The sequence below is a fragment of the Homo sapiens genome, chromosome 16 (assembly GCF_000001405.40).
Source record: "Homo sapiens chromosome 16, GRCh38.p14 Primary Assembly".
In the NCBI taxonomy this organism is placed as follows: Eukaryota; Metazoa; Chordata; class Mammalia; order Primates; family Hominidae; genus Homo; species Homo sapiens.
The window spans coordinates 13,155,534-13,181,627 of NC_000016.10; the positions used below are offsets into that span (position 1 = coordinate 13,155,534).

At 42.6% G+C, this 26,094-nt stretch overlaps 1 protein-coding gene across 6 annotated transcripts in view, besides 1 other annotated feature; it reads left to right on the forward strand.

Annotated features, from left to right (window-relative positions):
- The window catches only part of SHISA9 (shisa family member 9), a 661,420-nt gene that overhangs the window by 253,936 nt on the left and 381,390 nt on the right, over positions 1 to 26,094 (forward strand). The window lies entirely within an intron of this gene.
- Positions 12,411 to 12,960: an enhancer, noted in NCBI's record as "NANOG hESC enhancer chr16:13261801-13262350 (GRCh37/hg19 assembly coordinates)". NCBI's record gives its function as "activates a minimal SCP1, AML or CMV promoter by ChIP-STARR-seq in primed H9 embryonic stem cells {active_cell/tissue: H9 hESC(primed)}" and the evidence as "EXISTENCE:reporter gene assay evidence [ECO:0000049][PMID:30033119]".

Genomic DNA, 26,094 nt, shown 5'->3' on the forward strand with positions numbered 1-26,094 from the left:
ACTGCTCTGCAGGGGATGGCCTCTGGCCTTTCATAGTGTGTTTGTTTGTGTGTGTGGTGTGTGTGTGTGTGTCTGTGTGCATACGTACATATGCACATATGGTGGGGGTAGGGCACTGTGCTAGTCAAGGTACCCAGGCCACAGCCTTTGAACTAATTAGCAATTACTGGGCCTGGGGGAAACGTGGCTGGGGTGGGGGACATTTGTTAATTCCATTTGGTGAAGTCCATGATATTATTTGCTTCTCTGCCTCTTCCCCACTTCCCCCTCTCCCCCTACCCCTATTCCATGTTCCCTGTATAGTAACAAGAGGATTTCTCTGCTTTTTTTTCTTCCCTCTCCCAGAATGAGGGAATGTGCTTGGAAACAGTTGCCGAGGGAGCAATCTTGTTTTTGAAAAAGAAACTGTAAAAAATGTGTTTGCGGGGATGCCAAAGTGGAGGAGCCTTATTTAAGTGAGTGGGGTGGTGGGAATGTGTTTACACAGCAAAAAAACGCAAGCTGGGTGTCTGCTGTTTCTTAAGTGGATGGTATTTTGAAGGGACTTCATGATCTGTCTTTTAATTCACTGTTACTGCTTCTAGTCCAGGAAAGTGTGCCTTCCTGGCATTCTTCATGTAGCTTAGGTTAAGCAGCAGAAAATTGGCAGCCAGTCTGAGCCGGTGCTTACCTAATAGAAAACCGTGTACACGCAGCTCAGACAGAGCCATATACATGGGTGTAACTGGGTGCATCAATGACCACTGTGAGGATTAAATGAGGTGGTACTTGCCAGCATGCTTAGCACTGAGCCTGGCATGTAGTAAACTCTAAATGAGTGTTAGCCCATTATTAATTGTGTGTACACGCGTATATGCACACAATCCTGCCAACACTCATTGATAGGTGCAATTGTATACACATATAAAATTACTTCCTTGGCCAGGCATGGTGGCTCACGCCTGTAATCCCAGCACTTTAGGAGCCTGAGGTGGGCAGATCACAAGGTCGGGAGATCGAGACCATCTTGGCTAACATGGTGAAACCCCGTCTCTACTAACAATACAAAAAATTAGGCAGGCATGGTGGTGGGCGCCTGCAGTCCCAGCTACTCAGGAGGCTGAGGCAGGAGAATGGCGTGAACCTGGGAGGTGGAGCTCGCAGTAAGCTGAGATCGCGCCACTACACTCCAGCCTGGGCAACAGAGTGAGACTCCGTCTCAAAAAAAAAAAAAAAAAAAAATTACTTCCTTGCACAACTGTGCAGACCAATAGCTAGGCACACCTGCGGGATTACATTGTTACACCAAACCCTATGCACACTCCTAACTATGGATACGTATAATCAGGTAGTCTCTCATCTTTGCGCTTCTCCACATCATGTGCGTCATCAAAAGATGAAGGCATGAAAGAAGAAACACATTTACTGAGTGTTTTTTATATAGAATGTATATAAATGCAATTTGCAAATTTCCTTTGGAAACCTGGCTGAGGGCTTTTCAAGTATGCATCAGAGGATTCCTATTTAGAGCTTTGTTTCTGTGTTCCACTCTTTCTTGGTTCCAAATGGCTCTTTCCTTTCCATCTCCCCTGCTGTCATCTGAATCTTCTTCTTACGTGTTTATTCATCCATCCATCATCCGTCCATCCCCCCATCCATCCATCCATCCATCCCACTAAGATGCTTTATGTGGTGCTGAGTGCTGGGCTATAAGAAAGATTTGAATCAACCCTTTCAGAGCCTCTCATCTATCCTAGCATTAAGGAAGTTGTTTGTGTGAAGCTTCGCACTAATATATGTGAAGCAATTTAGCATCACAAAGCTCTGTTGCATACATGATAATACTTGATTAGCAGAGAATGGGAGATCTCAGATTTTGGAACTTGAATGCCTGGGTCCAGATCCCAGCTCTGCCAATTATTTGCTGTAACTGGACAAGTTACTTAGCCTTTCTGTCCCCCAGTTTCTCATCAGTAAAACAGAGATCACAAAATACCCATTTTCGAAGATTTTCGTGAGGATTGAAGGAATTCATACATGGAAAGTACTTAAAACAGGATGTGGTACATATTCAGTGTTATGTGTTGTGACTAAAATTGCTATTGCTGATTTTCTCAGGCAGACCTGGGCAGCTAGTGGTGTTATCTCCATTTTGCACATAAAAAGGGTCAGGGCAGTTCAGCATTACCCCTGAATGACTGCCACTGCCTGTCAGCTGTCCTCCCTGCCTGTTCCCAAGGAGGGAGACAACCCTTCTGCCAGCCCCCAATCCGGAGGCATTCATTCATTCCCACTCTCAGTCTCCCAGGAATTGTCAGTGAACACAGATTTGAGTCTTGTTCTGAGAGGAGGGCTTCATAAAAGGCTGCTCAAGGCTCAGGAAGCCTCAGCTCCATTTGTTTGTTTTCAACACTCTCCTGCTTTGACTCATCTCCAGGGTTCTTAGCCCCTCTAACATGGGCTCCTCAGTTAGTCTGAAACAAGTTTTTTATGTCAGAAAGGGGTGGTGGAGAATGATTGGTTAAGGGTGAGTTGTGGTATATTAGAAAGAACCGGAACCTTGGGGCCAGACCTGGGCTTTAGTCACTTTCAGGCAGAACAGTTCCCTGTCCTCTCTGTGCCTCATCTGTAAAATGGGGCGACAGTTTTTCCAGTATGTCCTCTCAGAGCAGTGTAGCCATAATGGAGAAGCAGGCTTTGTCTTCAGACTGACCAACATTCAGATCCCAGCTTTGCCTCTCACTGACTGGGACTTGCTTGTCTTCCTTGCAATGGAATTAGTCTGAGTTCTTAGTTGCAAGCAAAAGAACCCAACTCTAAATGATCCCAGCAGAAAATGAATGTATTAAAAGGAAGTTCATAGAATTTCTGGATGTCTGAGAAACTGGCTTAGAAACTGAGAAGAAACAAAGAGAGAAAAAATAGCCAGAACTACCCCCAAAACCATGCCACAAAAGCTGTCCTGGGAGGACCCTGCTATTGCCCACAGTGCGCACTGGATATTGCCGCAGTGTTACTTTTCTCAAGATGGCTTATTCACTGTCCCTGTTACTTGGGCTACCAGCTCCCAATTCAAAGACACATCTGATTGGCCAAGCCTAGGTCACATGCTCTTGCCTGTGCCACAAGGGAGGCTGGGAAAGCAAATATTTGGTCTTTTCAACTTGTTGGAGGGAGGCTCCATTTCTTTCCAAGGCCCATAAGATGGGGAGCTCCCAAACATAGGAGAAGGTGATGAAGATGATTTTAAAAACACAGCAAAGCCCAGGCATGGTGGCTCACGCCTATAATCCCAGCACTTTGGGAGGCTGAGGTGGGCGGATCACGAGGTCAGGAGGGCGAGACCATCCTGGCCAACATGGTGTAACCCCATCTCTACTAAAAAAAAAAAAAAAAAATTAGCTGGGCATGGTGGCATGCGCCTGTAGTCCCAGCTACTCGCGAGGCTGAGGCAGGAGAATCACTTGAACCCAGGAGGCGGAGGTTGCAATGAGCTGAAATTGCGCCACTACACTCCAGCCTGGTGACAGAGCGAGACTCTGTCTCAAAAAAAAAAAAAACAAAACCAAAAACAAACAACAAAAGAAAACCCAGCAAAAACACAACAAAAACAAAAAACGAAACTAAACTGTCAACTACAATGTGGATTCCTCTTCTGTACAATCTGGAAAACAAGACCTATTTCTAGGAATATTGTGAAAGTTACATAAATTAACATGAATTAGGCATAATACCTAGCACATTATATGCACTCAACAAATGCTGGTTTCCTGCCCCAGTTACTAGAAGGTGCTCCAGGGTCTGAGTTTCTGGGGTGGTTCCCAGAAGGCTTCCTTTTCCTAGCTGTGGAAGAGGAAAGACTGCCTTTGTCCATGATGCTGATTTATCTCCAGATCCCCAGTGGCTCACAGATGCTCCTGAGCACAGCTGTTCTCGAGATGTGAGAGAAGAAAGCCCAGTACTGTTTGGTTCTCAGGAGGAGGTCAGGATTGGGAGTAGTCTCGCTCTTTTGCCTAAAACTGGAGTAAAATTTCACTCAGCAGAGGGATAGATATGAAGATGACTGGCTCTTGGTTCATTAATCAGAGCATCCTTTGAGCATACGCTTTTCTCTTGATAAAGATTTACTATATTTCAGTTCCACCAAAGCCTTCTACAAGTTCCATAGGTTCCAGATATCAATTGGCCTCCCTTAGAGGAGAACACAGACTCACAGATATGTTCACATCATTTGCCCATTCTCTAAGGCCGAGGTTCAAGTCCATGCCCTTGGGTGAAGCTGTCCATGATTAATTCCGCAGAAACTTCTGCCATCTTTGAATGCTGCTGAAGCTCATATTGCTGCCTCTTCTTCCTGACTCCTGTTCTTTCTCCCACAAATATTTGTTGAGGGCCTACTATGTGCCAGGCACTGGAAATAAAGTAAGTCATAAAACCAACTAGCTATCTGCTGTCAGATAATTTTCCATTCTGGTAGAGGAAAGCGAAAATAAACAAGAAATAAAATAATTCTATATTGCTATGGGTGAGTGTTAGGAAGACTGAAACAATGAAGTCAGGGAAGATTGGGAAACTTTAAGTGTGGAGGTCAATGAGGTGCCTTCTAAGAAAGGCTGAGCCATATGAAGGCCTAGGGAAGAGAGTTCCAGGTGGAAGGAATCACAGGTGAACAGATTCTGAGGCAGGCGTGAGCTGGTGTGTTCTGGGTACAGATGAAGGATTAACATGGATAGAGAGCAATGAGGGAGAGAGAGAGAGAGGAGGTGGATACAGCTTAGTTAATAGTGCTTGATATCTTGATTTGTTCAATCAGATTTCCTATAAGTCAGACCTGTGCCTTCTACTTTTTGGTGTCTGCCTGCTATTGTGTCTAGTATATTCTATTCACCCAAGAGGCACTTAAGTTTATGCTTGATTAACATGAATCCCTCCTCCAGTAATATATCACACTGCATAGGTGGCCCTGGTCCCTTTGAGTTGTTATTTTCTACAAAATCATGATGCTGAATGCAGACTGTGAGGTTCTACACTGGGTTAGGTGGGATGCATCTAAGTTGGGTCACGTTTTGTCAATGCAGTCAAATCAGGAAGTGCAAACCTAAGTATGGTGCGTGAGAACCAAAATCTGATGAGAAAATTTTATTATGCGCTCTTTGGGGCAGGTTGGGACCATTTTAACACCCCCCAGGGGCTTAGTTTAAAGGCACAGCCCTCTGGACCTCCCATTTCACAACCTCCTTGTCAAATGCTTGCATAGATGTGTCAGAATACTTCTGCTAGAAACATGCCCACAGGAGAGAAGCGGTGATGTTGCCCTGGAGCCTCCTAATTCTGCTGCGTCTGGCTGAGACAGGGTAGGCAAGAAATCAACACTTTCCTTTTCAGGCTGGATGGCTTCAAGGAAACAAGTAAATTCTTAGCCTCAGGGTAGATATTGGTATGAAATGACCCTAATTTTTCTTCCTAGCCCCATTCCCCATGGCAGGAGAAGTTAGGTTGGCATTTGAACCAAAGCTTTATAAATAATTTGCAGGAAAAGGCACACCCTGGTTAGAACCAAAGACTTATGTATTTCAGTGGAGCCGTGGAAATTCTCACTTTTCTGTCCTGGCTGGCTCCAGGGAGTTGGAGGCAGAGAGAATTATAGTCTATTGTGCTCCAGGCTGTCCAGAGGTTTTAGAGATGTCTGTGGGAAATAGAATTGCCCAGGATGGTCAGAGTCAAAAGGCGTGGTGAGCCCTTTGCTACATTGATGGGTCGCTCTGTGGTGTCACTCAGGATATCTTTCCCCCCTGCTTGGGTCTTTGTGTTTTGGACTCATCTGCCCATGTGGCTAGCCTCACATAAGACCTGGACCCTAACACGTCCTCACTCATCTGTCCTGTTTCTGAGCAACTTCTCTGAACCTATCTTGCAACATCCTTCTGAGCAGCTTCTGACCCAGTTAATTATACTCTTTCATTTGGGTCTTGACTTTGGGCATTTTTCTCATCTAAACCCTGGCTGTCCCCCTACAGCTAAAATGCCAAGTCTATAAGAACTCAAAGGCATTTTTCTGTCCCAGCCATCCCCTCCTACGTTGGTCCAGACCCATGGTCAGGACCCAAGCTGTGAAGAACAGAATGAGTCTTTCTTGTCTCTGCATTCTAGGTCCTTTATCCCTTGACTCTTAGATCTTCCAGCCTCTTTTATAGGCAGGGGGTCCTTTGAATACCTACCATATGCAAGACAAAATTATAAGTGGGCTGAGGGTGGAAAGTTTGAACTCTACCTTATAAGAAAAACCCTCGTTTTTTTTTCCTCTATCGGTGCTAGAAATGGAAAGTTTCTAAAGATTTGTTTCCTTAGGTACTACAACCTCTCTTTCTAGTTTGCTGAAAGTTTTTTATTGGTGATACACATTGCATTTCATTGCATGATTTTTCTGCATCCATTGAAATGATCTTATGGCTGTTCTTTTTTAGGCTGTTAATATTATGAATTACTTGGATTGAAATTCAAGTGATAAACCAACCTTGGATTAATTAGAAGGGGATAATGTAATGGCAGAGGTGGACCTAGGATGTGGCTATTAATAGAAGACAAGTTAGCCCATATGAACCTCAGTATTCTCAAGTAGGTAATGTAAGACTTAGTAAAAGTAGCCAGAAAGGTGGGTATTCAGAGGGGGTGGGAGACAGCTTTCTCCTGGGGACAGAGTGTATGCATATTATTCTCAGGTTCTTTGGAGAACTAGTTGGTGTAGAAGAAATAAAGAGACTTTGAGTTTTTAGGATTTATGAGTGGGTGTAGAATCGTGTAATTCTTTCTTGGGAAACAGGGAAGGGAGGCATTTGTTTGGATATAGGAGCCATTAAGGTACAAATTAAACAAGGCTTTCAGGTAATTCTTATAGGACTGTCAAGGAAAAACAGTTTGAGGCGTAGGGATGTTCTTTTTTACCTTGCATTAGCATCAATCACTGCGCTGAGCATACAGTACATCTTTAATACACGAGACTGATTGCTTGACTGATACTCCAAATTCCATTAAAACAGATTCGAAACTCATCCAAACTCTCCTCTCTGGTAGAACTGGGCTATGGCAAATGGAACGGGAAATAAGTAGCCCACCCCTTGGCCTTGACAGTGTGTTACACACAGGACTTTATTATAAGGCCATTTTACATAGTAGGTGCCTATTATCAAACAGGTGTATGGATATTGTCATAAGAGAAAGTGGGAATGAATCTTAGCAAAGTAGATGTCAGAACATTTGAAAAAGATTCTAATTGCTAGTGTTCTGGAAAGGAAAGCAAATTAAGTTAGTCATTTACATGAAAAAAAAAACCGATACAAGAAACAGAGGAAGGGGTTTTGAGCACATCTTATTTTATCACCTTGGAGCCGTTATCCTGTTCACCAAAGGTGGTTCTTCTTAGTCCTAATTCTTAAGCTAAATGTGTTATTTATAATGCTTTCTAAGTCAAAGAGAGAAAAAAATAATGAATGAAAGAAGGAAAGACAAGGAATTCTAAGTTAGTCTTTATCCTTCTCTTGTTCTGAAAGCCAGTGATTTTAAAGAACTTGGACAAAAACTGAGTGACCTTGGACAAGTCACTTAGCTTACCTGAGTCTCAGTTTCTTTGTCCGTGAAAGGATGCTAATAATGCTAAGCATTTAGGTTTACACTAAAAAAGAAATGAGAAAATGTATTTGAAAATACCTACCTAGAATAGGCCCAGGTTGGGGGACAAGATGAGACCCCAATGAGTCTCAAATGTCTTTTAAAAAAGAGTCTTCATTTGACCTTTGAAAAGTTATTTAACATCTCTAAGCCAACTTTATTCTACTTCCCAAAGTTGTCTTGGCTCTTACAGATCTTTTTAATTTCCATATGAATTTTAAAATTAGATGATCATTTCTACAAAAAAGTGTGCTTGAATTTTTACTGCGATTGCATTGAGTTTAATAAATCTGCTGTTATTTTTATCTCTGTTTCCACTGTATATAATGTGTCCTTTTTTCTCTGATTGTTTTTATTATTTTCTTGTTGGTTTTCAGCAATTTAATTAAGATTAATTTGGGAAAGAAATGATAGCTTAAAATACTGAATATTTAAAACCATGAACATGACATATTTCTACATTTATTTAGGTCTTTTAAAATTTCTCTCAGTAAAGTTTTTATAGTTTTTATTGTACAGGCCTTGCACATCTTTTGTGAGATTTATCCTTAAATATTTAATATTTTTGTTGCTATTGTAAATGGTATTTTGTTAAATTTCAATAGTCCATTACTATGTTATGCAAATACAACGGAGTTTGGTATGTTAACCTTGTGTCTTGCAACCTTGCTAAAATCACTTATTAGTTGTAATAGTTTTTTTTTAGATTCCAAAGAATTTTCAACAGAGATGATCTCATCTGCAAATAAACACAGTATTAATTTTCCTTTTCCAATATGGACTCTGATTCTTTTCTTTTTCTTGCTGTATTGTACTGGATAGAACCTCTAGTAAAATGTTGAATATAAATGGCAAAAGCAGATGTTCATTCTTGCTTTTTTCTTGACTTTGGGGGATACGTGTTGGATCTCCCACTATTAAGTATGGTGTTATCTATAATATTTTTCATAGATGTCCGTTATCAGTTTGAAGAATTTCTCCTCTATTCCTAGTTTGCTGAAAGTTTTTTTATTGGTGATACACATTGCATTTTATCACATGATTTTTATGCATCTATTGAAATGATCTTATGGCTGTTCTTGTTTAGACTGTTAATATTATGAATTACATGGATTGAAATTCAAGTGGTAAACCAACCTTGGATTAATTAGATTATCACCACTTAGTCATGGTGTGTTATTTTTATATATTGCTAAATTTAGTTTGCTATAATTTACTGAGAAATTTTTAACCTATGTTTTTGATGGACATTGGTCTGTAGTTTTCTTTTCCTTGTAATGTTTTTCTTTGTATCAGGGTAATGCTGGCTTTATGGAATGAGTTGCAAAATATTCCATCCTCATCAATGTTTTGGAAAAGGTTTTGTAAAATTAATATTATTTCTTCCTTAAATGTTTTTAGACTAGAAGCTGAGGTCATTCCTTTGAGATTTCCTAATGTGAGCATTTATGCTATAAATTAGCCTCTAGGTATTGCTATAACTGCATCTCACACATTTCGATATGTTACATTTTTCATTCTATTCAGTTCAAAATACATTTTTATTTCCCTCTTAATTTTTTAATTTTATTCATAGGTTATTTAGAAGTGAATTTTGACCACCAAATATTTGGGCATTTTCTGTTATTGGTTTCTAATTTAATTCCACAAGATTTCACAATAGAGTTTGGATGACATGAACCTTTTTAAAATGATTGAGATTTTATTCTATGGCTTACAATATGGTTCATCTGTGGATTTTTCTAGGTTGTATTATTTCTGATAAGAAATCTGCTACTATTCTCATCTCTGTTTCCTCTGTATATAATGCATCCTTTTTGCCTTTGATTGCTTTTATGATTTCTGGTTGGTTTTCAGCAATTTAGTTAAGGTATGCCTTGGTATAGTTTTCTCCATGTTTCTTGTGCTTGTGGTTTGTTAGCCTTCTTGGCTTTGTATTTGTAGAGTTTTCATAATATTTTGAGAATTTGTGGCCATTAATTGTTCCAATTTTTTTTATGCCTCCTCCTTTCTTCTCTCCCCTAGGAACACTGATTCTATGTATATTAAATCACGTGATGCATTCCACAGTTCAGTCATGCTCTTTTCATATTTTGCTGTCTGTTTTAATCTAAGTGTTTAATTTTAATTGATTTGTCATTGTGTTTTCCAGTTTACTAACATTTTCTCCTCCACTGTGTCATCTGCTTTTAATCCAATCCAGTATATTTCTTTTATCTTATATATAGTAGTTGCTATCATTAGAAGTTTGAATTTGCTTCAAATGAAGTAAAGGTAGTGATCTTAGACCTGGATTTATTTTAAGAAGAGTTATTTAATAAATAGTAGTATAGGTAGTGTTTGAATTTGGCAACAGCCATGGAAGTGACTGAGACTTAGGAAACTTCCTGTTACCTGTTCTCTGATACGTGGAGAAACTGAGGCTGAGATGGATGCAGATTCCTCAGACCATGAGCAAAGGTACTTTGTAATGTCTTTCCTCTCTGTCTTCAGTCAGCTCACAGTTCCACACACTCCAGCCTTTCCCACAACAGTCAGCAGGTTAGACACAGTATCACGTGCTGATCAGTGAGTAAAGTCCTTTCTGCTGTGTATTTATTAAGATTAATTTACTAGGGTGGTTGGGGGTTTATCGAGCACTTAAAAATGTTAATGGACACTGTTCCCAATAAATCATGTCAACAGATCTCTATAAAAACAGTGGGAAGCTTTTAAATTGAGCCTAAGAAGCAGTATTGACTTCACATGGTGGGCTCAGTATAACCTTTAAGAAAATGACAGGTATTATCAGCCCGAGTCTGGAGCCTGTAATTCGCCAGCTACTGAATTCTCCATGGGAAGCCATCCTCATAGTAATAGTTATTATTTGTTAATGCCTGCTGTTTGCAGGAGATTAGTCTTGGCATTTGATAGATGGTCTCTTTGATCTCATCAATGTCTGTTTTATTAACTTCCATTTCATGGATGAGATAATCAAGGTCCTGATAAATGAAGCCCAAGATTGTGGCTTTTCTCCAAGTACCTCTCTCTCAACTCTAGCAACGTCAGACTTCTAAGAGTTTCTACAATGATATGTTATCCTTTTCTGTTTCTGGGCTTTGGCTTCCATCGTTCCTTCTACCTGGAACATCCTTTCTCTTGCTTTTTTGCCTGCCTTTGCATCCCAGCCCTCTTGATAAAGCAGATCAGTTCATGTTACTCACCACTTAACTGTCTTAGAACATCCTCTTTGCTTTAGGATGAAGCGTGTGCTTCTTAGCATGGCCAAAAAGGCAAGATTGGAGAGACTTTTCCTAGCCACTTCTTCTAATAAAACCCATCTCTCTATTCCCTCTGCACCCTCTCTCCCTTTTCCTGCTTTACTTTTCTCCATAGCCTCAGTCTTACCTGACACTATACATTTATCTACTGTGTTATCATTCTCCCCCGCTTGAATGTCACCACCATGAGGGCAGGCATTCTTGTCTGTTTTGTCTACGGTGTGCCCCTAATGCCTCCCCCAAATGCTGCAGAGAAGCTGTCAAAAGTGAAGGCAAAGGAAGAATCATGGGATGCGATAGTGGGAAGGTACTGGTGATCTTCACAAGGTGGTTGTGGGCAAAGAAGCCAGACCATGGTGGCAGAAGCAGGGAAGAAGAGGAGGCAGTAGGCAGAACACTCTATCAAGATGCTTTTTTCCTTAGCTAATGCATGCTGTGCTTAATACCTACGTGATGGGTCGATAGGTGCAGCAAACCACCATAACACACATTTACCTATGTCACAAACCTGCACATCCTGCACATGTACCCTGGAACTTCAAATTAAAAAAAAATTTTTTAAGATTTTTTTTCCTTTAGGAGAATTTTTTTTATTCTTACTTTACTCTACTTCTTCTCTCTCTCTCTCTTTTTTCTTTTTTTTTTTTTTTTTGAGACAGAGTTTCGCTCTTGTTGCCCAGGCTGGAGTGCAATGGGGCGATCTCAGCTCACTGCAACCTCCGCCTCCTGGGTTCAAGTGATTTTCCTGCTTCAGCCTCCTGAGTAGCTGGGATTACAGGCATGCACCGCCACACCTGGCTAATTTTGTATTTTTAGTAGAGATAGGGTTTCTCCATGTTGATCAGGTTGGTATTGAACTCCCGACCTCAGGTGATCCACCCACCTTGGCCTCCAAAAGTGCTGGGATCACAGGCGTGAGCCAGTGCACCCGGCCACTTTACTCCTCTTCTCAGCCACATTTGGCACAGTTCCCTGCTCCTTTCTTCTCCTTAGAACACTCGCCTCCCTTGACTTGTGCCTCTTACGTTTCTGGTAACTCCTTGACGTGGTCTGGATGTGTGTCCCCACCCAAATCTCATGTTCCATTATAATCCCCAGTATTGGAGGTGGGGCCTGGTGAGAGGTGATTGGATGATGGGGGCCATGCCTAATGATTTAGCACCACCTCTCCAAGTGCTGTTCTCCTGATAGTGTTCTCATGAGATCTGGTTGTTTAAAAGCATGTAGCACCTTCCCCCCTTCTCTCTCTTCCTCCTGCTCTGGCCAGGTAAAACATGCCTGCTTTCCCTTCGCCTTCCGCCATGATTGTTATTTTCCCGAGGCCTCCCCAGCCATTCTTCCTGTACAGCCTGTGGAACTGTGAACCAATAAAACCTCTTTTCTTTATAAATCACCCAGTCTCAGGTATTTCTTTATAGCAGAACTTAGTGTGAGAACAGCCTAATACAGTCCTTCTGTCTTAATTCTTGGATTTCCTGTGTTGTTCTATGTGTTTCAAGCAGGTCTTATTACTCTTTCCATGGCTGATAGTTTCTCATTATTCAGGTCTCAGCTCACCTGTCTGTAACAACCACATTTTCCAGCTTCTGTGCTTGATGCTTTGATGTCTTGGCACCTTGCTGACCCTGGAGGGACTGCTCCTCTCAGGATTAGCCAGTTCCTGGAGATAGTAAAGGACTTAACTTCAAGCGTGACTGTCTTATGCAAACTAACCAATCCAAAGCCCACACCCCCAACCACCTCCGTTATGGGCTGACTCAGGGTTGATTACCCATCTGTCCTAATCACCCCAGGGCCAGTGATTAAGATTTAGCTCAGTTAGACAAGACCAGGCTATGTAGCAGCGATGAATAAACCTGTAAGTCCAGTAGCTTAATTCCTTAAAACATTCTTACCTACACAAACTCTGCCACACATGGGCAGCCATCTCCATCTCATAGCAATGCCATCCAAACCTATGGCCTCCAACATTACCATATCAGTCACCTGGAAGCGGCTTACATCATTTCTACCCTTACTCCATTGGCCAACATATAATCACATGGTCCATGTCTACCAGCAAGGGAAGCTGGGAAATGTAGTCTTCTTAGGTGCCCCAGCTGTAGCAAACTGCAAAGCCTTGTCTCTCTACTACACCATGAAAGGGAGAAGGGAGCCTGTTCAGGAGGTTGTGAACTACTGCCTAGAGAAAGCTGGCCAGAAAGCAGTGAGAGCTTAGGAGCAGCTAGCGAGCTGGGATTTGCTCTGGATCTCATCAGCACCTAGTTTCTCGTATTCTGCATTCTCTAGCAGGCTAGGAGCCCAGGATGTGGACAGTGACATCGGAAGTGCATTATTCACGTTCCACTTGCACCATCTGCCAACTGTGTGGCCTTGGCCAAGTCACTTCACCTGTCTCAGCTCTTATTTGTTTACCTCTAAGAGTAGGCATCAATACCTGCCTCACAGAGCCGACATGAGAACTGGAGACAGATGACGCATGCATCGTGCCTGGCAGGAACACTTTGCTCAGTGAGTGATTGTCACCATGATCATTGTTTTTATCATCTTGATAATTATAGTGGAACCTATTGAGGCATGGACCTTAGCAAAGTGGGAGCAGCTTTTGCTTTTGGATTTCCAACTCTCTGTATACAATGACCCCTACGGAAGACCTCACACCTGTTTCAGAGAAGAGAATAATACCCGCCCCTGGGTTTGGCCATTTCCTTTGTCTTACAGTTGTCATGGGATCTTCACCCCTCCCAGCTCCATTGGAAGGTCAGTTGCAGTGCAGCCCTTTTCCGGGGTAATAAGTTTTTAATGTAGACGCAATTAGTGAATAAGCAGTTGATTAGTTCATTACGAAAATAGTGAAAACAACACCATTTGCGGTGGCAGAAGCTTCAGGAAGACAGATGCGTTCCCTTTTCATGTTATTGGCTGGGTCAGAATGCCAGGAAAGTTAACATATTTTACCATAATATTAAGCCCTTTTAACACTGAAAGGCCATTATGTTAGGAAAAAATCCCCCTCTGGGGTATTAATTAGAGAGATAGAGCTTTAAAAAAATCATAATCCCATTAAATTCCTCTCTTATAGCCATTTTCATAAAGAATCCTTAATGTGAATTGTGGATGAAAAACCACAACTCTGGCTAAAGAATTTATGAAAAACACTAGGCAGCTGATGTATCATTTTTAAGAGGAGGAAAACAAAACATTTTATCAGTTTCCTGGCTTTGGATTTCTTAAACAATTATGAACAGCCTAGACCAGAAGTCAGAGAGCAATGCCGTCTTTGTAGTATAGTCTTTAGCCTTCCCGAAAGCTAATGATGACATATGATTGCTATGGGTGGAAATGTATGCTCTGTGTCCCAGCTTCGGATCACTCTCTTCTCTTGGGGCTTTCCTGGGTTGCACTGGGTTTCTGGCTGGCATGGCAGTCTGGTTATGAATCCTTACATGCGTATTTAAAATAGGTATTTAAAATACATGTTCAGGCCGGGTGCGGTGGCTCATCCCTATAATCCCAGCACTTTGGGAGGCCGAGGCAAGTGGATCACCTGAGGTCAGGAGTTTGAGACCAGCATGGCCAACATGGCGAAACTCTTTCTCTACTAAAAATATAAAAATTAGCCAAGCGTGTTGGTGTATGCCTGTAATCCCAGCTATTCAAGAGGCTGAGGCAGGAGAATCGCTTGAACCTGGGAGGTGGAGGTTGCAGTGAGCTGAGATCGTGCCATTGCACTCCAGCCTGGGCAACAGAGTGAGACTCCATCTCAAAAAAAAAAAAAAAAAAGAAAAGAAAAGTAAAATATATGTTCATTTGTTCATTTATTTGTCCCTATGATAAGTATCTACTGAGCCACTCTGCATGCCATATGCTGTGTGAGTGCCTGAGATACAATGGTGAATGGAGTAGACAAGATCCCTGAACTCAGGGGCTTTGTGTTAGTCAATTTTGTGTTGCTATAAAGCAATACCCAAGACTGGGTAATTTATAAAGAGAATTGATTTGTGATGACAACACATGGATGCGTGGCAGGGAACAACACACACTGGGGCCTGCCAGGGGTGGTGTGGAGAGCATCAGGAAGAATAGCTAATGGACACTGGGCTTAATACCTAGGTGATGGTTGGTCTGTGCAGCAAAGTACCATGGCACACGTTTACCTATGTAACTAACCTGCACATCCTGCACATGTACCCCTGAATTTCAAATAAAAGTTTGTTTGTTTGTTTGTTTGTTTTTTGAGATGGAGTCTTGCTCTATTGCCCAGGCTGGAGTGCAATGGTGCCATCTCGGCTCACTGCAACCTCCACCTCCTGAGTTCAAGCCATTTTCCTGCCTCAGCCTCCTGAGTAGCTGGGATTACAGATGTGTGCCACCACGCCCAGCTAGTTTTTGTATTTTTAGTACAGATGGGGTTTCACCATGTTGGGCAGGCTGGTCTCCAACTCCTGACCTCAGGTCATCCACCCGCCTTGGCCTCCCAAAGTGCTGGGATTACAGGCGTCAACCACCGCGCTGGGCCTAAAATAAAAGTTGAAGGAAAAAATAAAAAAAGAAAAAGAAAAGAGATTTATTTGATTCACCCTTCTGCAGGCTGTACAAGAAGCATGGTGCTGGCATCTGCTTCTGGTGAGGGCCTCAGGAAGTTTCCAATCACGGCCAAAATTGAAGGGGAAGCAGGCGTGTCACATGGCAAGAGAGCCAACAAGAGAGAGACAGCAAAGATCCCAGACTCTTTTTAACAACCAGATCTCTTGTGAACTCATTAAGGTGGTGGAGAGGGTACCAAGCCATTCATGAGGGATCCACCCCCATGACCCAAACACCTCCCACCAGGCCCCACCCCCAACACTGGGGATCACATTTCAACATGAGATTTGGGGCAGGGGAGAAAACATCCAAACCATATCAGGCTTCTAGTTCATGGAAAGCTACACATTAATCAACAAATCACAGAGACTGGCGTGAAGTTGCAAATGGGGTAGATGTCATGGAGGAGGGACTTGTGCAGTGCTGGGAGAGTGAATGACAGGCCATTGATACAGCAGGGGGCGGGGGTGGGGGCGGGAGTCAAGGAAGCCCTTTCTTGAAGCTGACATGAAGGAAGGCAGGGGTGTGCTGATGAATGGGGGTGCTTCCAGCAGAGGAAATAGTACTTGCCAGGGTTCTGCCCTGGGAGAGAAAGAACAAAGAGCATTTGGGGAAATGAAAGGAGACCAGGTGGCTAAAAGTTTAGCAAAGAGCAAAAAAGTGGGGAGTGACATGGCACGAGGCTGGAGGGGTGGATGGGGGCTGTGTGGGCCGGGTAAGGACTGTCATCTTTATCCTGAGAGAATGGTAACCACTGGAGCAACGTAGGTGACATGATCATGTTTGCATATATGTGTTGACATTCGTATGCATATGATAAAATTGCAACATTGTGTGATGCTGAGTGAATAGCTTTCTCTCTCGGATTCTCTCCTCATTTGTTAAATGATACTAATAACAGGACTTACTTCTAGTTTTACAGTAGCTATTATATGAAATAACCCAAATGAAAATGCTTATCCCTAGTGTTTGGTATGCTGGATGTATACAAGGCAATTTTCTTCCTTCCTTCCCACTTTCTCTCCTTCCCTTCCTTTCCCCCCTTTCCCTCCTTCCCTCCTCTCTTCTGCCTTTATAAAATGAGCTAACTGAATATATCTTGCTTCTTTTAACTTTAGGACTCAGGGCTGTTTTCTTTTTCAATAGGTACTCTTCTTTGTTTATTGCTTTTATTAAATCAGTTGGTTATCAAATCAGTCAATCAGTGAGTATTAAATGGGCACTAACTTTATGCTTGGTTTTGCAGAGACACTTAAGATGCCTAGGGGATTGGAAGGCTTCCTAGTTATAACACCTGCACATCTTTGTAGTCCAAAGTGCACAAGAAGTCCTTAATTAAACAGGTGGCTTTAGGAATAGATACTAAATAAAGCCAGGTAACTGGCTGGTTGTTCATCCTCAAGGGAATTAGTAACTGAGTCATTAGTCGTAGCATATAATCAACGTGTGCATGAAGCCTCTTTAAATATGTGCAACCATCTTGACTTTGGTCTTGACTATTTCCTCTCTGTGTCACCATCTAGGGCTCCTCAGTTTCTTTTTTGTGTGTGTGAAATAACAATGAAAACACCATTTCACCATCACCTTCGTGCTGGCAAGAAGAGCCGTCGTTGAGTCTTCCAGCAACAATGTCAGCCTGGTTTCGCGTCTGTTTAGGCCCATGAGAGAGTACCAAGAACAATCATATGACTTAATTACAATTCACTTATCTTGATGATTTTTTTTTTTTTTTTTTTGGTAAATAATCTTGATGTAAATTCCTAGTGGGCCACGAGAGAGGAGGCGGGATTGTAATGAACTGGTGATGAAGTGGAAATATTTTGAAACGCCGAATAATGTATTTTGCTTGTCACCTAATTACTTTTCTTCTGCCTAATAGCACATTTCATAATATCTTACTTCCCGATCTGTTCAACTGGCAATAAAAATTCTTTTTTGTGATTGCCGTGTGCTCCCAAGTAAAGACCAGTGCATTAGGAGCTCAACATATAATGATGCTTTAATGACCCCGATAATGTCCCTTTTATCAAATGGAAAAAGGAGTTTGTTTCATTGAAAATACATTTTCTTCTCTGTATGAATATTATTTGAAAAGGAATTGTTTATCAGTCAGAAGAGATGCACGTGCGCACACACACACACACACACACACACATTCATTCTCACTCATTTACCAATCCAGAAACAAAGAGTTTTTAGGTTTTGATTAACACCTTAGCGTTAACAATGCAATATAAACACACAGAAATGCTGAAGGTATCCCAGAAGAACAAAACTCTTATATGCTTTGATATATATATATCCTATATATTTCAGACACTACAATGTGGAAATGGCATGTATGTGTGCATGTACACACACACACACACACACACACACACACACATTTTCCTAATTGTAGATTAGATTGGTTGCATGTTTACCATGTTCCAGGACCTGTGCTGATAATAGGAGTGTAAAGAACAAGAGGACACTGTTTCTGCCCGCGTGGACCTAACAATCTAGATCAGCAGTTCTTAACTGGGGGCAATTTTGCTCCCCACCCCTATTTGGGGATATTTAACAATGCCTAGAGACATTTTTGGTTGTCACAACTTGCAGGAGGCAGTGGGCAGGGATGTGCTAAGCTCCTGAAATGCACAGGACAGTCCCTTATCACCCACCCAAGCCAAGAGTGAGTTTTCCCAAGATGTCAATTGTGCCGAGATTTGGAAACCGAGGTCTAATGGAGAAGACAAATGAAAAACCCGGCAATTACAACAGAGTCAGGTCAATGTATTCTAAGCCAGAGGAAGTTCACAGGGCTGTTAGAGGAGAGTGGTTGAGCATCTCACCCAGCTTGGAGGTTCAGGGAGGGCTTCCTGGAGGAGATGATGGCTGATTGGAGTGACAAACTAGAAGAAGAAATGGGGAAAAGGTGTTCTGGGAAACTTAATGCTGACTGAGGAGTCGGAGTCCTGGCAGATTCCACAGTCTGGGACGTGCTGGGGCCTTAAAAAGTCATATCACCTCTCTAGGCCTCAGTTTCCCATCCCCACCCTTCATTCTCAATAAAATGAGCGGCTGGACTGGTTGATCTCCAAGGTCTTTACTAACTTGATATTTATTATCCTACACCTCTGGCTTGTATAAACTTGTAAAATATAGCATTTGTTTTTTGTTGTTTTGGTTTGTTTTCTGGGTTTTAATTTTCATTATGGGGCCTTCTCATGCAACCATTTCCAGCCTCCTGTTTGTTTACCCAACAAAAACATGACTCTCCTCTGGTCCTGCCTTATGCTGGGCTCTGGGAACCCAGATATTCCTCCTCCTCATGTACCTTGCAGTCTGGCCCCAGATCAGTTCACAGAAGCTCCCTTTCATCACTGTCAGAGTCCTTGACTGTCTCTTGGGAGTTAAGGAGCTGTAAGCCCATTGGTGCCTATACCTCTTCCTTAAGACCATGTTGGTCCTCAGAGAGATAGCGATGGCCTGAATTAAGGCAGGCAAACTGGAGACAGAACTGGGGGCAGGGATGAAGGCTAAGAAATTTGAGAAATATTTATGAGAAAGAATCTCCAGGACTGGACCCCTTACTGGGGATGGAGGGATGAGGTGATGGAGAAGCCCAGGAGGGGTTTGGACTTGAGAGGGTGAGTAGCAATGCCCTCCTCTCACATGGGGTGAGGTGCAGAGGGAAGACGCTGGTTTTGTAGGAAGATGAAATGATCTCTCTCTTGCTTCCTGGTAAGGGGACCAGGGAGGCCTGTGGGAGTGTGAGAGGTCCAAAGGAGCCAAGCTGATTCCTTTATAATCTCTGGATCCAAGGCAGCTCTGAGATAGAAAAAGAAAGACTCCTTATGTGGGGAAAGGGTCCCTTATATTCCAGGTACTTCCTGAGCTTCCATAAAAGACTTAGGCAAAGATATGAGAGAAATTTATGACTGGGTCCTCGTCCTCAGCACAGGACACAAAAAGAGGCTTGCATTTAGCATGAAATAATCTCAGCTTCAGTCCCAGAGCTGCCTATCGGATGCTAGCTCTTGGCTTCACTTTCCGTCTTTTAAAAAAGGTCTGGGATGGACGTGGTAGCTGGCTCATGCCTGTAGTCTCAGCACTTTGGAAGACCAAGGCAGGAGGATTGCTTGAGCCCAGGAATTAGAGACCAGCTTGGGAAACACAGTGAGACCCCGTCTCTCCAAAAAAAAAAGAAAGAAAAAAAAAGAAAAGAAAAAATTAGCTGGGCATGGTGGCACATGCCTGTGGTCCCAGCTACTCTGGAGGCTGAGGTGGGAGGATCGCTCAAGTCCAGGAGTTCGAGGCTGCAGTGAGCCATGGGCAACAGAATGAGACTCCCTCTCCAAAATAAATACATACAAATAAAATAAAACAAAAATAAAAAGATTTGATTTTTTCCCTATGTTCCAGAGATGCTATAAGGAGTAAATGAGAGAATGGATGACAAAAGTTATTTGCAGGCTGGGAAGTTGTGTGATTTGAGTGAGACACGCCCAGGTGAGGGTTCTGAGATGGGTACAGATTCAGTCTCGTGCCCACAGCTGGCCAGGAAGAAGGTGAAGGTTACTGTGACTTGTAAGAGAGGCAGGGCTGATTGAAAGTTATTTTTCAACTGGTCTTAAAGGAACTTGGAATATTAGCTCCAGTATTTCTCTGCATGGGCACGGTGAGCACATTGGGTGGGATGAATCCCTGTGGGACACCACACATTGCAGGACATTTTAGCAAACCTGGTGCCCAATGCTAGTAGCCTCCCCTGCATCACTTTGATAATAAAATATGCCCCCCCACACTTTCACGTGCTTCCAAGGGTGGGTGGGGGCTTTCCTTAGAACGTCACATGTGAGGAGACCAAGCAAGAGAGAGAAACTAGTTAGGTACAAATCCAGAGGGCTATTGAGTTGGCAGAACTGAGATTTGAACCGAGGTATGTTCTCACTCTCCCTCTGTCTCTTGCCAAATCAAATCTCTAAAGTTACATTTAAATGTAACTTTAAGTAGGCATAGCATTTTTTTCCTACTAAAGTTACATTTAAATGTAACTTTAAATATCTTTTTTATAACTTAGCTTAATTTCCGTGTTTTTTTAATAAAAACCTGCCTAATGTTAAAAACCTCTATTAGTTGATTACAATTTCTTTACTCAGTTTATTCTACCTTTATCCTTGTCCCTAAGACTGTATCTAGATTTGGAGGGGGCTTATATAGCCAGGCATATTTTGGGGGGTCTAGGTATGGCCTTTGATCATTATGTGCCTACAGTCAGTTCTGCTAACCAGTTTGGTTTTTGACTGACACGAGTCATCTGTCCTGGACACCTGCAGAGGTGCCCATTTTAATCTCTTTGGTCTCTGATCACACAGGTCACACCACGCCTACTTCTCTACCTCCTCGTCCTGACCCCAAAGTCTTTCCAGGTCTCACAGTCCACTCTCTTTAGAACCTGGATCTTAACCAATGCCTGATGCCACCACTCTTGTGTTTGATGGTTTTATGCCCTTCAGGGCCAAGTGCCACTCACAGACACTGGGAAGTCCAGCCCAAAACAGCCAGACAGACCCAGGAACACGGACCCACAGTGGGAGTTCTGAATTCAGCCCAAGGCTTGGCCCCCTCCTGCTTACATAACTAGTGATGCCCATTCCATCTCTGAGCTGGCTTTTTGACTCACCACTGTTTTTTTTTTCCCCAAGAAGTAAAATGTAATTAATTGCAGGCTTATTGTTATATTATAACCTCACATGGGGGAGTGGGTGGTAGGGTGGGCCGAAGCTCAAGACAGATAATGGCCTTGTAGATCTGCAACCCTCAGATCACCCACACCTCTTCTCCCCTCTCTGTTCTTAATCTAATGTTGAGACAATAATGAAGCCATGATGCTGAGTCGCTGTTATTCATCTGAGTGGTTACTCGGAGGCTGGGGAGGACACATGACTCCAATTACAGACTGTCTCCCAGCTTTTGATCTTTGAGGGCTCAGAGCTGGGGATCCTCTGAATTTGCTGGCTGGGGAAAGCCTGATTCTCTCTGCATTTCATTTTCTCAGCTCAGCCCACCATCAGGAAAGATCTGTGATCCAAGGTGAAACTCTCAGAAGTGGTGGGGAATTTGAGGGTTATGAAAATCTGCACTTTGTTTGCACCAGGGACAGTGTACAGAACCCCCTCTCAGAGAACATATTAGCAGCTCACTTAATTGCTCTCTGATCTTTTTCCTCTCCTAGAGCCCAGATTCTTCATACCTTCTGGACCAGAAACAAAACCTAGCTCAGCAAATGCTCATCCATAGCAATACGAAGTTTGGAAGCTCAAAATCTTAGAATGGCTCTTTTGAGGTCTGATCCTGTTGTGCAGACTCCCCACAGAGACTATGGCTGCCCTGTGGCCATCTGCTCAATAACAAAGTATTGCCACTGTATACAAAAATGGGTGGGGGAAAAAAACATTCAGTTCTTCATAATATCCCACCTCATGTGAATTAGGCAAGACTAGTGCTCAATACTTCTACTTTTATTTTATTTTTTTTAAAAAGCGCAATTGAAAGCATATATCTACTCATACGATTTTCCCTAACTGATACCTGTCTTGCTTACTAGATTACTGGCTCCTGGAGGCAAGAACTAGGTTCACGGTGTTTTTGTTTGTTTGTTTGTTTGTTTGTTTTGTTGAGACAGAGTCTTACTCTGTCGCCCAGGCTAGAGTGCAATGGCGCAGTCTAGGCTCACTGCAACCTCTGCCTCCTGTGTTCAAGCGATTCTCCTGCCTCAGCCTCCCGAGTAGCTGACACTACAGGCAATCGCCACCATACCTGGCTAATTTTTGTATTTTTAGTACAGAAGGGGTTTCACCATGTTGTCCAGGCTGATCTGAAACCCCTGACCTCGTGATCCACCTGCCTTGGCCTCCCAAAGTGCTGGGATTACAAGCATGAGTCACTGCGCCCGGCCAGGTTCATGTTTTGTAACTGAGGTTGTTCCAGTCCCTGGAATGATGCTTTGCACATAGAGATATTTCAAAAATATTATTGAGTGAACAAATGAACGAGTGAATAATCACATCGATTTTGAGGTTCTTTAAAGAAGAGAAGGTGCTTGAACTTGAAGAACACTTGTGGGCACAGACAAAGGAGCTAGGGTATTTTATTCTTCTCAAGTTGCTCAGAGCATTCTCCTCCATCCATGGATCAGCTACAAGGATGGGTCAGGTGCACGTGTGGAGAGAGAAGTAATCTAGAATTCTAGAGAGTTGGCTTTCATCTTGACATATTTGTAGGGTGACCATGAGTAAGCCCATCCCTCTCTCTGGGTTTTTTTTTTTTTTCTTTTCATCTGTTAAATTTTTAATGGGACTGAAAGAGTCTTCAAGGTTCCCAGTTCTACTATCTCCTGACGATGCTTCTGCCTCCCATCTTGGGCCCCACGTTTTACAAGTTGCTTCTTCCAATCACTCTCCAAGCTCCCGACACAGCAGATGGAGCTGGTGCCCGCCCACGACTGACAGATGAGCCTCATTTACAGCCCTCAACATTTAACCATTTGGCTATTTGGCAGAGTCATCTAGCTCCGAGATGCTGGGAGAGTCCTCCCCGTCCCCAGCAACACAGACAACTTCCCACTCCCAGGTCTCTGCTAGTGCCGGGGACCTGGGAATGTGAAACAGAGAAGCCAGCCTCCAGCCTTGGGTCTACAAGGCCTTAGAGGGAAACCACATTTGAAAATAGTAATATTTCCCAGAGAGCAGAAGATGATGGGGAGGTGTCTGGACATACATTAATTAGCCAGCTTGGTCTATTTCCAGGTCCATGTTTTCAGAGGCCAGGTTTTTGTTGTTGTTGTTGTTGTTGTTTGTTTTTTTCTGCCCTATTTAGTAATAATATCCATAATTCTAGAAAAGCCTGATGTTAAATGTAAGGTGGTCTAAGCATTGAAGCAAACTTTCTTCCTATCTCAAAATCATTGAGTTGTTGATGTCTAAGGCTTTGAGTAACCACTTAACTCTATAACAACATCATCCCTCTAGGCTGGGCATGGTGGCTCACACCTGTAATCCCAGCATTTTGGGAGGCCGACGTGGGCAGCTGATTTGAGGTCAGGATTTCTAGACCAGCCAATATGGCAAAACCCTGCCTCTACTAAAAATAAAAATAAAATTAGCTGGGTGTGGTGGCAGGTGCCTGTAATCCCACCTATTCAGGAGGCTGAGGCGGGAGAACAACCAGGAGGCGGAGGTTGCAGTGAGCTGAGATCACACCACTGCACCCCAGCCCAGGTGACAGAGCAAGACTCTGTCTCAATAAAACAAAAACAAAACAAAACAAAACAAAATCTCTCTGATGTCTGTTGAGTGCTGGCTCTGTGCTAGTCATAAACATCTCTACATGCCTTATCTTATTTTGTCCTCACAACACCATTAAAAGATAGATACTATGATTACCACTGTTTTATAGCTGAAGAAACAGAGAATCAGAAATGTTAAATTTATACAGTCATAGAGCTACCAGAAGGAAGAACTAGGACTCACACCTAAGAAAATCAAAGCTCTCTTCCTTGCCTTCTCAGGTGATTGAGGAGAAATCCTCTGTTAATACTCCTGCCTCCTGGCCTTGGCTCCAATGATGGTCCCCTGGGAATGACAGTGGGGCTGTGGGAAAGGCAAAGGTTCTCTCCAATTTGTTCTATCAATTAATGATTTTGAGATTTGGTGTGGAAATCCAAGAATCTATGACCCCATGAGAAAATTAAAGGATGAGATGGGGCCATTGAATGGGAGCAGATCAGAATCCAAAGAGGAAAGGTTAGAGTGTAAAATTCCCTCTACTGCGTCTTCCTGGCAGGATGTGGGTGTTTAATTACTGTGTTGAGAGCAGGATTGAATAAGTGGGACAAGACTGGAAATGTTTGTTTAGGGGCTGTTCCTTTAGGCTGATCTGGACCCAGGGCATTGATGATGGTTTTACAATGTGAGAGAGCTATCAGGTGGGTAGGAAACTCTCCTGAGTCTGTGAGGCAAATGACCTCTGGCTAATCAAGTTTCTTAACTAAGATTGCCTGAGAACTTAAGATGTAGAACTCCACGAAGCAGTCAGGTCTGGACATTTACAATGTACGTGGAACATTTGTTCAATGAATGTAGACACTGTTTAACACTTCTACACTTTCAATACTTGGCTCCTATGAAAAGGTATAGATATATTCAGAGCCTCTGCCGCCTGTCTGGCTTCTAAGCTACACTGCCTATCCACATTCCTGTTGAGAGATATTTGCTGTGTTGACTGCTACATAACTCTGTCCCCACACCAGTTTACAGAAGTTTGGACCAGGGGTGCAGGACACCTAACCCAGAGGGAGCCTGTCCATGGCTGACCTTGGTGCTTAGAGTGAAAAAGATAAACTGATCAGCCAGGCACCGTGGCTCACACCGCAATCCCAGCACTTTGGGAGGCCAAGGTGGGTGGATCCCTTGAGCTCAGGAGTTCGAGACCAGCCTGAGCCACACAGTGAGACCTTGTGTCTATAAAAAATTAAAAAATTAGCTGGGCAGGGTGGCATGCACCTGTCTTCTCAGCTACTTGGGAGGCTGAGGTGGGAGGATTGCTTGAACCCAGGAGTTTGAGGCTATAGTGAACCATGACTGCATCACCGCACTCCAGCCTAGGTGACAGAGTGAGACCCTGTCTCTAAATAAATAAATAAACAAACTGATCAAATGAGATCAATTTGTGGAACTGAAAATGAGAGACTGAGCCATCCTTATGGAATCAGGATTATCAACACTACACAGAGTGCTAAGTAGGATTCTACATTCCATGTCCCAGGAAATTGATGTGGGGGACAGTCTCCTTTCCAGATGGAGAGTTATTCCTGCTTCAGGAGACACCTGATGGAATCATAGTCAATTGGAGTAACATTTGGAATCGTGCACTCAGTGTTAATTCACTATTTTTTTTCATCCAAAAACGTTCTGAGCAGTTACCATGGGCTAGAAATTGTGCTGGATACTGGCATTAAACCAGTAGGCAAAATAGATATTGTTATTGCACATCCAGTGGGGAAGACAGGTATCAAATAATCCTGCAAATAAATATATACATTTTATAAACTATGATTATGGAGGAAAATAATGGGTTTTATTGTTACCATTATTTTTGTTGTTTATATAATCATAATAATAATTATAATTACTATGGTGGGTAGAGCAGATTTATATGGGAGATTAGGCCCAAGAAAGTCTTTCCTAAAATAAAATTTTATATATATATATATATATATATATATATATATATATATATATATACACACACACACACACACACACATATACGAGCAAAGTACAAAAAGATGAATGGGAAATCAAGAGAAGTGAGAACATTCTAAGCAAAGGGAAGAATGTGTATGAAGGCTGTGAGGGGGGAAATCACATATTTGAAGGTTTAAATGAGGGCTCAGCTTGCTGGGGGATAGAGATCAATGGGAAAGGTAATGCCATGTGTCTGGAGAAGTTGGTAGGTGCGGGATCATGCAGGACCTTGTCATACATGGTATGGGTTTTGATTTTATTCTAAAGTGCAGCGGGAATTAGTTAAGGGGTCTGAAGCAGGGGAATGATGT